Here is a 17,102-nt window from a genome sequence, read left to right on the forward strand (position 1 = left end):
GAGTTGGGAATCACACAGCCTGATTGAATGTACGCTGTGCTCATATGATAAGAAATCCCCCAAACATCATCAGTGTATGTCTTAAGACAACTCCGAACACCTTTCTTTCATTCCCTCACATTTAACTGGCTAAATCCTATAAATTTACCCAGTAAATATCTCTTGAGTCTATTCTCTCCCCTCTATCTGCACTGCCATTGCTCTGCTTCAAACTATTATCTGTATCTCTTGCCTGTACTTCTGTGAAAACCTTCTAACTGCTTTCTCTCTCCCTCAGTTTTACTCACCCTCACCTCACTCCTCACAAACCATTTCTACCTGCTAGAATGATCTTCCTAAAATGCAAATCTAAATAAAACCTTTTAGTGGTTGCCTCTTGGCTCATACCAGTAACAATAATAGTTTTTTAAAATTTTATTTGATTTTTTGGTAGAGACAGGGTCTGTCTTGCTATGTCGCCCAGGCTCGTCTTGAACTCCTGGCCTCAAGCGATCTTCCTGCCTCAGCCACCCAAAGTGCTGGGATTACAGGCGTGTGCCACTGCTCCTGGCCACTAGTAATTCCTAAGGCATGCTCTCTGCCTACTAATGTGCCAAGGGATTCACCTGATGGGCAGAGATATATCCAATTTTCTACCCTCATGAAGCTCTTCTGCTGGCAAGTAAGAACAACGGGTAAGAACAAGTGGTGCAGGCTGGCCCAACAAAGACTTTTCCTAAGGAGCTGTAGTCAAAGACTTGAAGGCCACTCCCTAATGAACTGATTCCAAATTCAAGGATTCTGCCTTATCTTCTGCCACTCTACTACATGTGCCCAATGTTGCAGCCTAATTGAACAAACTCCTTGTCATAAAGATTCATCGTTGGGTCTCTTCACAGTCTATTTTCTTGAGTGTCTCTAGTCCCCAACCACGGCTCTAGCCCAAGCAGAATAGATGCCCCTCCCTCTGTAGTCCCTGGGCATCCTCTGTTACCTCTCACCTTACTATGATGTCTGTTTACCTATCTGTTTCTCCCATTAGACTGAGTTCACAGTATAGGGCCTGGAAGAGTAGGAACTCAGTAAATGTTTGTGGGATTGAATGGGGGTATTATCATTCCTACTCTACAATAAGACAATAATATTCTGCTGATATATTTTTTAGATGAAATGAACAAAGCAAAGTAGTCTTGCTCATTTCTGCCAGGCTTAGTTATCTATAACCTTAAGGACTGATCAAAAAGTCCTCTGGATGGTTCAGAACCATAACTGGGTTCACTGTCTGTGAAATCCTTAGGAAAGGCTGAGGGATCACAGGAAGAGCTTTAATCATTAACTTACATATTTAAGATTTTCAAAGCACTTTCACATCCAGGATGTAAAAGCACTTTTACAGAAATGAAAGCAAAGATGGCTCTCCTCAGCAGCAGATGAAAGAGTCAAGGTGAGCAGTTTCAGGAACAGCTGGAGCCCTGGGCTTCCAGGACGGACCACAGAGACTGAGGTCTAGAACTCACCTGGACTGGCCCAATGCTCTTATTCCGGCCTCCAGGCATGCCATCTTCTCTGATAGCTGGAAGGAAAGATAAGTCAAGAAAGGCAGTCAGAAGCACACTCATATAAGTCTTAGCACAAAAAGAGAGTTTACTTGGCCAAAAGCATAAGACAGTAATTAGTGAATCCAACATTAAAACACAGGTCCTTCTGGATCCAAAGCACACAATTCTTTCTATTATTCCAGGCTCCTTCATAGGCAGCAATATTTTGGGGCCCCCAAGGCATTGCGTACATACTACACACACTGTATACATTCAATATGTTCGAAAAAGGTGATAGCACTGCTCACTAGTCCTTCAGTTACAAACATCCTGCCAGGATGATGCATCTTAAGGTTTTGACAAATTCTAGGGGAGGGACAGAGTATTTCCATTTTTAAATAAAATAGTTTGTATTCCCAGCCTAAGTTTAGATTTGATTTGTAGAATCAGAACAGGTTTTTTGGTTTTTTTCATTAATCAGAATTTTGACCTCAATGGTTTCTCCCTGCAAAGGCAGTCAGTAGAGCACCTGTGTAGTCGAAGGAACTTACCTAGCATTTACTAAGTATAAAAAGCATCCTTTAAGTAGTATCTCCTGACTAAGAATAACAACTACTACTAATATTATCATCACTCTTTATGGAACACTTAATACGGGGGGCATAGAGAAGAACCCCTGATTTGCAATTATAGTAGGACCACGGTATTAGGCAATCCTTTCTGGAAAAGAAAACTTCTGAACTGAGTCTTAAAGGTTAAGTAGGATTTAGGCAGCCAGGAAAAGAGTGCTCCAGGTTGAGCGAACAGTGTACAAAAAAAGCAAGCTGAAGGTAAGAATAAGCTCTTCTTTCTGGGAATTTCCAAGCGGCTTAATCTGGCTAAAGCATAGGGGAAGGGTGGCCTATGTGGGGGAAGAGTAGCATGAGATAAGGGTGGAAAGGCCAATTGGGCCTAGATTATAAAGAGCCTTGAATGCCAGACTAGGGTATAACTTTAGCTAAGGAGCTTGAGGACAAGAAGGAATGTAGGGGGGCACTGTGGTCATATTGGGATTTTTAAAAAATCTTTCTGACAGCCACTGTGGAGGGTAGCTTGGAAGGGGTTAATGTTAACAATGACAGAAGATAAGCTAATGACATTATGTAATAGCAGGCCTTGCTAGGATATACCTGCCACTTAAAAAAATTAACATAAGGAATCTAGGAAGTTCCCCAGGCAGGGACTGATTGCCTCAAAAGGTGGGAGCTCCAAGTATATAACCCTGTTTCTGAGGTAACTAAAAGGCTGACAGGAAATTCAGAATTAAGTAAGTTAGGGTCCAAATCCTGTTTCTTCCTGGTCTGTATAATTATGAACAAGTTTCTCTGCCTCTCTGGACTTCAGTTTACTGAAATGAAAAGAGAAAATACTGGTACTTGTTTTATGTTACATTACATAAAATGGTATGGATAAAACACCAACCTTAGGGCCTTGCATGTAAAGTAAGCACTTAGTAACTAATCCTTCCCTCTCCCTAGCCTCTTTGAGTTAAAAATCCAAGGTTCTATTCTCAACTTTGCTAGAATCTTAATATTTTCATCTGCTAAATGGAGGCAACAGGGTCGGTCTGCTTTATAAAAAGCTGTTGTGAATTTGGAGTAAGAAACATACATAGCCTATGTTAGAGCTAGATGTATGCTGCTTGTTGGCTGGGAGGTCTCTTTCAATCTAATTTCAAGTTCTAAAATCTTTACAATCGCTTCTCTGCTGTTCCATGGTCAATGACAGTCTTTGGGTATTTCTATTTCCAATAATAACATCTCACATGTCTTTATTTCAGCTCATAGGTAGAGAACAAAGATCTGTCACTGGAATACAACACCAAATGTATTAATAGTTCGGCTGTTACCTCATTTTCACTGTCCTGGAGGTGTGAAAAGAAAGCAACATACTTTACTTTTCATTTAAAGGGCCACATGTCTTAAAGATTTACATCTTGCCAATCTCTTGTTCTGAAATTCAAAAGCTCATCGGCCAAGCACAGTGGCTCACACTTGTAATCCCAGCACTTTGGAAGGCTGAGGAGGGCAGATCACCTGAGATTGGGAGTTCAAGACCAGCCTGACCAACATGGAGAAACCATGTCTCTACTAAAAATTCAAAATTAGCCGGGCGTGGTGGCACATGCCTGTAATCCCAGCTACTCGGGAGGCTGAGGCAGGAGAATTGCTTGAACCCGGGAGGTGGAGGTTGCGGTGAACTGAGATGGTGCTATTGCACTCCAGCCTGGGCAACAAGAGCAAAACTCCATCTCAAAAAAATGTTCATCTTCTTCCTCGACCCCACCCAGAGTAACAAAATACGTATATGATAGAAATCTACTATGTGTTACATACTGTTCTCTGAGGTAAAATCACTCATGAGTAAAGTATTAGTATCACTCCCATTGAACAGATGGATCTAAGGCTCACAGAAATGAAGTATTTTGCTGGAAGAGACAGAAACTAAAGAGCAGAATCAGGGTTGGAACCCACACTATCAGACTGTAAGACCAGACTTCTTTCTACTACTACTATGTATGCATCCTAGTGGAGAAACATAAGATACTTTTAGGTGGTGCATAAACTCTTAATTATACATTCTTAATTATTAATTATTCTTAAATTATACATTTATTCTGATGTGCAACTCACATGGCAAAATGTTAACAATTGGTGAATTTGGGTAAAGGGCAGATGAGAATTCTTACTACTGTTGCAAATTTTCTGTAAGCTTGAAATTACTTCAAAATAAAACAGAACAAAGTTTTAATGAGGTGGTAAAGAATTGCCTTTAAAAATTAACTTTGATTTTTAAAAGTTATTGAAAGACTAATATAAACAGCAGTACCCATTTAGAGATGATAAAATCGGTCAAGATGCCATGAAACCACCTGAAGTGTGGAAATCAATACAATGTGCCACACTGCCTCTGTTAAAAACAAAAACTTGGACCATATTTTCAAACTTATAATGTTCTTGCACATATGTATGTTATCTCATGTGATCCTCACAACCACCTTGGAAGGTGTATTATTCTCCCACGCATTTTTGAGATGAGGAAACAGAGCTCAGAGAGGTAAAGAGATTTGCTCAGGGAAGAACTGACAGAGCTGGAGTTTCCATTTAGATCTTCTGATTCTAAAGCTGTACTTGTTCCTTGATGCCATACTGAACTAACAAGTTTTTCAGCAGGGCTAAAATCTATTTGGCAGTGATTTGATTAAAAAGAACAAATGGCTCCTGTGTGCAGTATTACAGGAATGGTTCTGCTGTAACTCTTATCTAAGTCTAAGAAAGAGAATGGCCCTAGCCATGGCTCTTCTATCTTCTCAGAAGGCACCACAAACACTTTTTCTGCTTTGGAACTCATATGCCTACCATTCTTCATTTGCTTGGGCTTAGGCAGTCAACAAAACCCAGAAACCATAAATAACAAAGCTAACTACATCAAAGCTCCACTCAAAACCTGTCGGTGGTGCCTTTGGTTCATGGGCCAAATCTAAGCTCCTTAGCATGGCATTCAAGACCATCTATCATCTGGTTCTGGTGGGACCCCTCATCCTCATCTCTTGCCATAAATGCTATACCCTACATGTAGATAACTATTTGTTAGTCTTTAAACATGCTATTCTGTTTTACATAGTTCTGTCTCTGCATATGTTGCCTGTACTCAGAAAGAAACTTAAAGTGGAAAAATCTGGCAACATCACCTTCCCTAAGTGACATCATCATAACCAAGTGATTCAAGTTAATATCACCAATAATGGGTATACACTTACATCATGTGCTCTTGATATTATGGTCTAAGAAGGACACAACATCATTTCTATGGCATTCTTGCGAAAAATGCATAACCTGCATGTATTCGTGAGGAAACTGACAAGCCCAAATTAAGGGATATTCTACAAAATACATGACCTATTTGCTTCAAAATCGACAATGTTAATAAAGACAAAGAAAGACTGACGAACTATTTCAGATTAAAAGAGACTGAAAAGACATAAAAACTAAATGTAATGTGATTTCCTGAAGTGGCTTCTAGATCAGAGAAAATAAAATTGCTATAAAGGACACTGAGATGACTGGCAAAAATTGAATAAGATCTGCTAATAAGATAGTACTGTGTCAGGTTAAATTTCCTGATTTTGATAACAGTACTGTGATTGCTAGAAATAAAAGGAACACTGCCTATGCCTCACTCTCAAATGGCTAAGAAGGTGCGTACATGCAGGCACACACACACTTACTTACCTGTGGGAAGTGGGGAAGGTGGAAGAGAGAGACAGAAAGAAGAGCAAGGGGGAGGGGGGAGGGAAAATAATAAAACAAATAGCATGATAAAGCAAATGTGGCAAAATGTTAACAATTGGTGAATTTAGGTAAAGGGCATATGGGAATTATTACTACTGTTGCAACTTTTCTGTAAGCTTGAAATTATTTAAAAATAAAACAGAACAAAATTTTAAAGTCTTAATTTAAAAACAAACAATCTTTTGGCAGGCATATGCTCATGCCTATAATCCCAGCACTTTGGGAGACTGAGGCGGGAGGATTGCTTGAGCTCAGTTTAGCTCAGCTGAACTTGATCCTCAGTTCAAGAGCTGCCTGGGCAACATGCTGAAAACTTGTCTCTACAAATTTTTTTGGTATAATAAAATGTAAAAAAAAAAGTTCATAAGGAAAATGTAAGAAATGTAAAAAAAATGTTTGTAAGGAACACGAACTTTGATTTCTTTAAGATTCTGCTCAAATGTTATCCCTCCTTGAGATTTCTCAGTGCTTCATGCAGACCTCTGTGTTGTGTCCTGGGGCACTTTTTACCCTGGTAAAGTGATATGGCGATGCCACAGGATCACTGCCTCACAATGCCATTCTGCAAACATCACCTCCTCCAAGAAGCTTTCCTTGACCTTTATACTTTTGAACTAGTTAGCAAGTTATGAGACCACAGAGTTAAGGAAATTTTTTATTTTTTCACAGTTACTTAACTAACATGACACCCACCCCCACCACCCGCCACGAAGCTGACTGTATCCTCATTTCTCCTCTGACAATATTTTCCCCATCCCACTTCCTGCCATGGCCCTCCATCACAGTCAATCCATCTAACCAGGGAGCATCCTATCACTACTGAGTTATTTGCTGAAGGACCAACAGAAAAGTAGGACTTGATCATGGCCCTTGAGGGGCTCATTGTCTAATAATGAGGGAAACAGATGAGTGAACAGAGAAAGATAACACAAGATGACCAGGGTTATGGCAGAAGGCATGCAAAAAAGCTGTGGAAGCACAGGAGGGTTATCTGGTGGGGGATGGTGTCAGAGAAGGCTTCTTAGAGGATGTTACAAATAAACGCTGAACCTTGAAGTCAGGAGTAGAAGAAGGGGTGGATGTTTAAACCCCCTCTTCTTCCAGGCAGATGAAACCACATGTGCAAAACAGGAAACATCACTGGGTTTTTGAAGAACTAGGATGGAATGCAGATTGTGAGTGGGGAACACCAAATGGAGAAGGAAAGGGATCAGGTGGCTGATGCCAGTGTCAGAGGGGCCTTGAAAATCACCTTAAGGAGCCTGACTTTATCCCGAAGACTGCAAGATGGGTAAGGAACATACATGGGGGATACTAGTGCAGTAGTGGGGATGGACAGACAGGGCCCAGTCTCCATTCACCACCCTTCTTTAGATCTTCCTCATTGCTTTGCTAAGGAGTTTTCTGACCAGCCAACTTTCAGGTCTGAAAAGATACTCAGTTCCATATCCAAAGATGGAGAACAACAGAGAGCTGTCTTGCACATAGGTGAAAAAGCCCCAGCCACAAATGGCAGCTGCATTTTTTTAATAGTTAATTTTTTAAATTTTGAGGTAAGTTTAGACTTTATACAAGAGTTGCAAAAATAGTATGGAGAGTTCCCATACACCCTCCTCCTTTTAACAATGGACATAATCATGTCTAGTCATCAAAACTAGGAAATTAACCTTGGTACAATACTATTAACCAAAGTACATACTTTATTTTGATTTCTCCAGTTGTTTCACTGATATCTTTTGTTCCAGAACACAATCCAGGGGCCCACATTGCATTTAGCTGTCATGCCTTCATAGTCTTCTCCAATCTGTGACAGCTCAGTCTTTCCTTGTTTTTTTGTGACTTTGACACTTTTCAAATGGGTATTTTGTCAAATGTCAGTTATTCTGAAGAATGTCCCTCAATATGGGCTTGTTTGTTTTCTCAGGATTAGATTGAGTGAACTTACCTCTCTGTGTGTGTATATGTGTGACCTTCTCAGTGTTTCATATCAGGGGGTATATACAATGTTGGTGTGTTTTATTGGTACTGTTAATCTTGATCACTTGGCTAAAGTTATGTCTGTCAGAATTCTCTAAATAAACTTACTATTTTTCCCTTTGTAATTACTATATATTTGCAGACTATGCAAATATTCTGTTTCTGTTGACACTGATGCCACTTATTTAGCATCCATTAGTAGGTTTTGCTTGTCGCAATTATTACTGTGATGTTCTAATGGTGAATTTTTTTTTTTTTTTTTTTTTTTGGTTTGTTGCCCAGGGTGGAGTACAATGGCATGATCTTGGCTTACTGCAACCTCCGTCTCCCAGGTTTACCTTAGCCTCCAGAGTAGCCGGGACTGTAGGCACATGCCACCGCGCCAGCTAATTTTTGTATTTTTTTTTTGTATAGACGGGGTTTCAGCATGATACCAAGGCTGGTCTTGAACTCCTGAGCTTAAGCAATCCACCTGCTCCGGCCTCCCAAAGTATTGGGATTACAGGCATGAACCACTGTGCCCAGCCCTAATGGTGATTTTTCTATTTCCCTCATTCCTTCTACATTTATATTTATATTTATATTTTTAGAGATGGAGTCTCACTATGCTGCCCAGGCTGGTCTTGAACTCCAGGGCTCAAGTGATCCTCTTGCCTTGGCCTCCCAAAGTGCTGGGATTACAGGTGTGAGCCACTAAGCCTGGCCTCCTTCTACATTTGTTAATCAGAATTCACTTAAAGGAAAAATGATCACTTCTCTTTATTTATTCACTTATTCCTTTCGGTATGAACTCATGGATATTTTTATCCTTTGGGTTATAAATTAATCCTACAGTTATTGTTCCTCAAGTTGTTCCACCGTTGGCCATCAGAAGTTCTTTCAGGTTGGCTTCTGTGCCCTTTGATATGCTTCCTTTCTTTTTTTAGAAAGCACTTCCTAGCTTGCTGGCCCCTTAAGATGCTCCAGGATCATTTTATATTTCCCCTACCCCAGCCTTGGAATCAACCAGTTTTCCAATGAGTCCTCATTCCTTTCATTGATATTTGGAAGCCAAGATCTGGGTGCTGGGTGTACTCATTGCTCCTGGGGTATCTGCTTCTAGCCCCTCTCAGTGGCTAGAGCTTGGAAATATACATATGTACACTAACTCACCTACCCACACAAGGTATCTATGTATTTTTAAATCTATCTGAAACACGAATACATATTGATACACTGATTCCAATCTAGCACGAGGGGATTCATTCTGGCCTTCTCCTTTGCTGATTTATAACTTCTTTCTTTCTCTGATGTGAGAAACCTGACTCTCATTGTCCACAATATATTTACTTGCTGATTCTACTCTATTATACAAATGAAGTAGTGAAAAAATTCCTAACACATAACCTTGAGAGAAACAAATTTTACAAACTAGAGTGCTTTGTTTGTATGTAATTCTTTTTGTTTTTAGCCTTACAGTATACAGTCAAAATACTTTTCAAAGGTTAGCTCCTTTTTTCTCCAACCCCTTAAGTGTGGTTATGTGACTAATTTGTAACACCAGCTAGATTCATTTGTCATAGTGTGCATTCTTTCTCTCTGCCCTTTAACCCCCAAAACATCCTAGCTGATTAAACAAATTTTCACATATAGTAACATTTATTTTTTTGTGGTGTAAAGTTCTATGGGTTTTGACAAATGCACAGAATTATGTGTCAACCACCACAGGTCCATACAGAACATTCCTTACCCCCAAAATACTCCCACGGCAACTGCAATTTTAATCCTGCTTTCGCAGCACCAACCAGGAGGTGGCAGGGTTTCTCTCCCTGACGCAGACTTCACCAGGCAACTGGGTCTGCCTGCTCTGCATGCAAACAGTCCTAAGGAGACAGCTAGCTCCCTGTCCCTCATACTCCGTGTGTCTTCTGACTATGGTCAGAGGGGTTATAAGGTTAAGTTTCTTCTTCCCTAAAACAGGTGAGTTTTGCTGGAAGCCTCAGAATCTCACACTCCAGCTGAACAAGCAGGATGATTCATCAGAGACAGCAGTCAAGAAGGCAACCCATAATAACTAAGCTTTCATAAGATACTCACAGTGAGGGCAACAAAGGGAGATGAGAGAAGTGGAGGCCAAAACCAAAACAGGGTGAGGGCAGGAAGTTGACAGACTCTTCAGACAGTACATGTTTGGTATTGGTGGCTGGAAAAGATTTCAATAAGAGGAAACTGACAGTGGGGAAGGGAAAAGATCTCCAAGTAGAGGAAAAAACCTGAGTACAGGCACAGCAGTGTAAGGCATCCCTGAGGCACAGTGTTCAGAAATGAGTTAGAAAGACAGGCAGGGGACAAACTTGGTAACACTTCAAATGTCCTACTATGGCATTCATCATCCAGTAAACACAGGGCATTCCAACATGTAAACAGCTATGCCACATGGTAGACATGTGAAGCAGTACATTGTCCGTGTCCGTATTAAGCAGGTACAAGCTCTGCTTAATAACAAATTATAATTTAGTTAACTGTTAACTGTCAACATAACCACCCCTAAACTATTGCTAACTCATTTTACCTCCCTAAGCTGTATCTGTAAACTGGGGATAATAGTTAATAACAGGGTTGTTGTATGTATTCAGTGGTAGAATATATATATGGAGGGTACATAAATAAGTGCTCAATATTAGTATTTATAATAAATTATAAACCACCTAAATTTATCTAAATGCACTTCCACATCTCTCTTACCTTTCTTCATGATGGGCAAGTTTTTAAAAGGTCCTTCTTATCTCATACACAATAAAACCAGTCTGAGTATATCTGGATGTCTGCATTCATAATGCTATAAAACCAGTTTGAATAGTTCACTATATCTGACTAACACCCCCATCCCTGAACACTGCTGCTATGAACCCCTAATACCTTGCTGGGTATTTTATATGTTATCATACTTAATCCCGTAGAGAACTCTGAAGGGTAAGTAACATACCATCTTAAAGGTAAGATAATTGAATATTGGAGATATAAAGCAAACTTCCTAAGGTCACAGAGCTAAAAGCTAGTCTGTTTGCCTCTAGAGCCTCTCTTCTTTCTGCTGAATGACACTGCTCTATTCTACTCTCCACTCTCCATGGGAATACCACTCTAGGCTTCTGACACCGGCCCTTCTCTCTTCTGTATCTAAGCTCTCTCTGTGGGTGATTTCACCTATGGACTAGACTTTTACTACCACCTCTGTGCCAACAGCTCCATGAAGCCTGTTTGCAGGCAGGACTTTTCATCTCAGTTCCAATCCTATATAACCAACTTCCTTGGTGGACATCTTTATGCATCCTTCTCAGGTATCTCAAACTCAGTATTGCCAAGGCCAACATTTTGCCCCACCCTTTTTCTTTTCTTTTCAGAGGGTCCTATAGAGAAATCACCCTGCTTTTTAGCTTGACTTTTTTTTTTTTTTTTTTTTTTTTTCGTTTTTTTCTCCCTGGTAAGGTCATTACTCTTAATCCACATCCTCGATTTCAACTTCTGGTGCTGCTCAATATTCAGTATGTCACCAACTCCTATCAGATGAGTTTCTTCAACATCTCTGTGTGCCATTATTTCCCCCGTTCCTTCAGATCCTTCAGATTTCCTTCTAGACTCTACTAAAAACTTTCTAGGTGGTTTTCTGTTTCCCCTGCCCCAATTCACCCTCCAAAACAGCCCTTCATATTCATCCTACTAGAACGTCAGTTTGTTCATATTATCTCAGGCTAATGGCTCTTGGAAAGCTTCCCAATAAATTCCAAACTCCTCACCAACCTAGACACAGACTTCTGAGCATGCCTAGCCTCTGAGTACACCGTGGTTCTAGCAAACAAAATGATACCGCATTCAGCAATCTCCTACCTCATGCCTTTTCATCCAAAAATTTCTACTTCTGTCATCATTCCTGAAATAACTAGTGAAGTATATTAATCCCAGTTAAGACCTGATTGTTAAGTGGGTTCTTGGTCACACAGGGCCTGTGCACTCATTCCCACCTTAACATCTCACTAGTTTTCTTCCCCCCACCTAGTTTAGGAAGGTCTTATAGGCAAGAATGGTTCATTTTTGGTTATGAGTACAAACTATAAGGCCTGATATGTAGTGCAAGCTTGAGGAATAAGTAACTAAACAGCTGACACTAAAGGTAAAGTTTTGAATGAAGGATGGGCCATCAGAGCCATCAGCACCACTCACCCTTCCGGTTCATCCCCATCTGGAGGCATTTGAGCAGGCGGCAGTACTGGCACCTGTTCCTCTGCTTCCGAGACATGACACAGTTCTTGTCACGACTGCATCGATATACCCGTTTGTTGCAAATGCTCCGCTTGAAAAACCCTTTGCAGCCCTCACAGGAGATGATCCCATAGTGCAAGCCTGTAGCGCGGTCCCCACAAATGAGACAGGTTCGTTGTTCAGCCCGATCATCTGAAACAGAAACTGATCATGTTCAAGTTAGAACACAGTGGAAATAATGGCTTTAAGCCTACAGTTCCTAAAGTGAGCAACTCTGCTCTGGGTAGATTAAGACCACCACTATCTCCAGGCTAAAGGGCAAACAGGGGGCCCATCTTCGGATCCTTGTCCCAAGAGTAGTCCCTGTATCTGTGGTTGCAGATACCACAACACAGTCTACCTAAACTCTTCCTCCTGGGTTTCATCAACACTTGGATCAGTATCTAAGACTGAAACCTAGAAAGAATCTTTGACTCCTCTATCACCCTTACCCTGCTCATCTATAACCCATCAATTCTACCCTGTAGGAGCACGGTAAGGATTACTTACCATATATGTAAGGGCCTAACACATGATATACAGCCAATAAATGACAGCTGTAATTGAGTTCTAACCATACCGAGCTAAGCCGGTCAGCCAGACATCCAGCCAATAAATATTTACTGTGCAACTCTTCTATCCTGGGAACTGCTGTAAGGCACAAATACAGCAGTGAACAGAAGCCCCTGGTGAAGCTTACACTCTAGCAGAGTATCTATTCTGTGTCCAGGCCCTGTGCTAGGACATAAATAAATCATCATGATCCCCAGAGTCATGGAACTCACTGACGAGCAATAAACAAGTTACTCAAGGAGGAAATTCAGGATAGAATATAGCTCTTCACTTCCTCTTCCTTTAAACTGCATTTACTCAGGACCAAGCAACTGCTAAAGAGCAGGCACACGACAAAAAAGCACCCTGTGAACTGTGATGTGAAGCTATGCCAGCAGGTACAAGAAATCACCAGGGAAGGTTCCGATCAGAGGCCAAGACAAGAAATCAGATATTTCAACCTCACTCCTGAGTAAGAGGGAAGGTATAATAATCAAGAACATCGTTATAGAGCCAGGCGTGATGGCACACACCTGTAGTCTCATCTACTGAGGAGGCTGAAGCAGGAGGACTGCTTGAGCCTAGGAGTTTGAGGCTGCAGTGAGCTATGATTGCACCACTGCATTCCAGCCTGAGCGACGGCAAGACCATATCTCTTAAAAAACAAATAAACAAAAACAAAGGCACATCATTATACCATGAATTAGAGACCGCTTATAATTAGAGAGATTCTAATTTGAACCCTAGCTCTGAAACTAGCTGGGTGAACTAGGGAAAAATTGACCTTCTTTACTTTTCTAATTTCTCTCATCTGTTAAATGGTGATTATAATAATACCTATATCCCATGGATAAAGTTCTCATTGCAGTGTGTGGGCTATAATAGACATTTGATAACTGTCAGCTATTATTTTCATTATTATTACCCCAGCAGGTACACATTTAATGTGATAATGACATTCCTGAAAGGAAAAGCTTTCGAAGGCAATGTTAGCAGAGGGTCATGGTAGTATATACAGGAGGGATGCAGAGAAAGGAGGTGGCTTGCATTTCTGGAGCCCTTAATATATGCCAACTTTGAGATGAGTCTTTATGATTGCCATCTATAGTAAGCAGAATAACTGCGACCCATAGATATCAGGTCCTAATCCTTGGAACCTGTAAAATGCTACCTTATAAAGGAAAAAGGGTATTTGTAGATGTGATTGAATTAAGAATCTTGCGGTAGGGGGTTATTCTGAATTATATGGGTGGGCCCGAAATACAATCACAAGTGTCTTCGTAAGACAGAGGCAGAGGAAGATCTGATAAAGATAGTAGAGAAGAAGAAACACATCACATGCAAAAGAGAAGGTGATACGAAGACAGAGGCAGAAACTGGCCACCAACCAAGGAATGACGGCAGTCACCAGAAGTTGGAAGAGGCAAGGAACCGATTCTCCCCTAGAGCTTCTGAAAGGAGTGTGGCTCTGCAAACACTTTCATTTCAGCCCAGGGATACTGATTTTTTTTTTTTTTTTTTGAAAGGGAGTCTTGCTCTGTCACCCAGGCTGGAGTGCAGTGGTTCAATCTCGGTTCACTGCAACCTCCGCCTCCTAGGTTCAAGCAATTATCCTGCCTCAGCCTCCCAAGTAGCTGGGATTACAGGTGCCTGCCACCATGCCCTGCTAATTTTTGTATTTTTAGTAGAGACGGGGTTTTACCATCTTGGCCAGGCTGGTCTTGAATTCCTGACCTCAAGTGATCTGCACACCTTGGCCTCCCAAAGTGCTGGGATTAGAGGTGTGAGCCACCACGCCCGACCTGATTTTGGATTTATGGCTTCTCTTCCAGTAAGAGAGTAAATTTTTGTTGTTTTCAGGCACTGAGTTTGTGGTAATTTGTTACAGCAGCACAGGAAACTAATATACCTTTTTTTTTTTTTCGCAAACAGGGAAACAGGCAATATTAAGACTTGTCTCAAGTCAGCTGGCAAACAGCAGGTACTCACAGACAAGTACATACATGAGATTATACAACCAGGGAAATGGAGAACGACAGATATGGAAAGACTGCCTAGGTTCTTGAGGACTCTACAGTTCTTGGTTACAGACTTTTCTAAGGCTTGGATACACTTCCTTTGAGAAAACAGCACAGTGACAAATTGACATAACCACGTTATTGTAATACAATCCTCCTTTTTTCTTTTTTTGAGACGGATCTCACTCTGTAGCCCAGGCTGGAGTGCAGTAGCGCGATCTTGGCTCACTGCAACCTCTGCCTCCCAGGTCCCGGTTCAAGTAATGATCCTGCCTCAGCCTCCCGAGTAGCTGGGATTACAGGAACGTGCCACCATGCCTGGCTAATTTTTGTATTTTCAGTAGAGATGGGGTTTCACCATGTTGGCCAGGCTGGTCTTGAACTCCTGACCTCGTGATCCACCCACCTCGGCCTCCCAAAGTTCTGGGATGACAGGAGTGGGCCACCGCGCCCGGCCAATCCTCCTTCTTTTCTTTCTTAAGCTAACTTAAGTGAGTTTCTGTTGTTTGCAACACAAACAAAATACAAAAAGCCCTATTAAGAAAAAAAAGATACCCTATAAAAATGGCCCTGGTGTGATCAGTATTCCTTTTATTTTCCTTTTGAAAACATAAAGAAAGCTCAAGGTAAACACTACAGAAAAGTTACAATAGCAAATTTTAAAAATTAAAACAGGTAAGGCCAAACAGGCAAAATGAATAGCATAAAAATAGCACCCACTATGTTTGAGATGGGATTTCCTAGAGTGCTGAAAAGGCCTGGAAATGGAACATGGAACACTGTTGGGAAACCATGATTGGCTATGGAAGAATCTAAATTTTCTAATTTTAAAACCTTCAGTGTTCTTTTAGATATGACTATAATGTAAACCAGAGCCTTATTAGAATAGACTTAAAAACAGTTATAATGAATATATCCACAAGGACACACCTTCCTTTCTTCACTGATACGATTTCACTGAACACCCACCACAACTAGGTAGGCTTTACTTCACTGACTCATGTAATCCTCAAAACCCCATACATAGGTGAGTACAATTGTTATCACCCTTTTGTAAATGATTAAGTGGAAGCTCCAAAATGGTTAAACAATTTGTCCACCTAGAAAGTGGCTGACCCTGAACCACCAATATCAGAAATGGAGTTCAATAACCTCTGCATAAAGCATTCCTATGGCATTCTGTGCAGCATCTGGAGCCAGAGCAAAGAACCTACAGAACGACAATCAAATATAGACCTGTTAAGAACCTGCTCATGTCTCGTAACACTGCTTGCTTTTCTCATGATAGTTTTAAAAGGCCACACTGAGATCAAAGACTAAAGGGCCATATTTCTTTAAGGAGCCTGAAGCCCTAGGACTGCTTCTCTGTCTGGCTACAGCTATTCTTACTGCCTGCCATGTTCTGTTTCTTCAAAAAATGGTCTATGCCATGGATGAGGAACTAATTCAAAAGGGAGTTTCTCAGTGGTACAAAAGAAAGGCTCTCTCCAGATCAATCTAGTAGCCCTTCAAAGAAGCATTTGGAAAACTTCTCTCCCAGTATGTGAAAAATAACAACAGAATCAGCTATTGTTAACTGACCACTTAGGTGCTATGCTCTGGCCAAGCACTTAACATACATTACTGTGCTGAATAATCACAATTATTCCTAAACAAGGTGCCCTCAACATTTTACAGATGAGGAAATGGAGGCCCATGAGGTGCTATCACTCCCTAATAGTCATCCAGCTAGTAAGGGAAAGCTGGAAGCCTCAAAAGTCTATGTTCCTAACCATTACATTCTTTGGCCACAGCAAGGTAAATCTACACATTCTACATGCAGGTAAGTCAGTCCCTTCCCCACTGAAAACCAACCAACCAACCACCCAACCAACCAACCAAAAAAGCCAGGGCCCCCCTTTGTAAATGAACAAACTGAAGCAAATGCCCCTAATCGTGCCTGGCCAGATGTCAGATACAGATTTCTGCACTTCCTATTGCAAAGGATTTGAAGTGTATAAGTGTATTTATAGCATGTTTACATGCATTATCTTGCTGGTACCAGGCCAAAGCAAGGGTTATTCTTATCTTATAGATAAGGCAAAAAACAGTCAATGAGCACCAACTGTGTACCATGCAATGTGCAAGAAGTTTTTACATACACTATTTACCACAGTAACTTCGAGACATATTATTCCTATATTACTGAATCTGGAATCTTAAGAGTTAGAAAAGGCCTTAGAAATTGCCCTGTACAGATCTTTACCTGAGGCATGAATTCCCTCCACAATGTTCCAAGACAAAGAGTTGCCCCATACTCTTACTTGCACATCTCTAGTGACTCAATAAGGTACTTCATTCCATTCATTCTACTTTTAGACAGTTATAATGGTTCAAAGGCTTTTCTTTATATGGAGCCAAACCTGAAGCTTCCCGCACTGCCCTGAATAATG

General features: G+C 40.9%; 1 protein-coding gene across 6 annotated transcripts in view, besides 1 other annotated feature; it reads right to left on the minus strand.

Moving 5' to 3' along the window:
• Positions 1-17,102, minus strand: part of NR6A1 (nuclear receptor subfamily 6 group A member 1) — a 254,037-nt gene that overhangs the window by 25,031 nt on the left and 211,904 nt on the right. For 4 of the 6 annotated variants that reach the window (NM_001410996.1, NM_033334.4, XM_047423226.1 and 1 more), the window contains 2 exons: positions 12,023-12,265; positions 1,497-1,552 (listed from right to left, as the gene is read on the minus strand). In NM_001410996.1, the coding sequence (NP_001397925.1) occupies positions 1,497-1,552; positions 12,023-12,265 (299 nt within the window). The remainder of the gene's footprint in view (positions 1-1,496; positions 1,553-12,022; positions 12,266-17,102) is intronic. The other 2 variants (NM_001489.5, NM_001278546.2) reach the window with 1 other exon arrangement.
• Positions 9,554-9,603: an enhancer, noted in NCBI's record as "active region_28986". NCBI's record gives its function as "activates an Ori minimal core promoter by ATAC-STARR-seq in GM12878 lymphoblastoid cells {active_cell/tissue: GM12878}" and the evidence as "EXISTENCE:reporter gene assay evidence [ECO:0000049][PMID:35858748]".

Source organism: Homo sapiens, chromosome 9 (genome assembly GCF_000001405.40).
Source record: "Homo sapiens chromosome 9, GRCh38.p14 Primary Assembly".
Taxonomy (NCBI): Eukaryota; Metazoa; Chordata; class Mammalia; order Primates; family Hominidae; genus Homo; species Homo sapiens.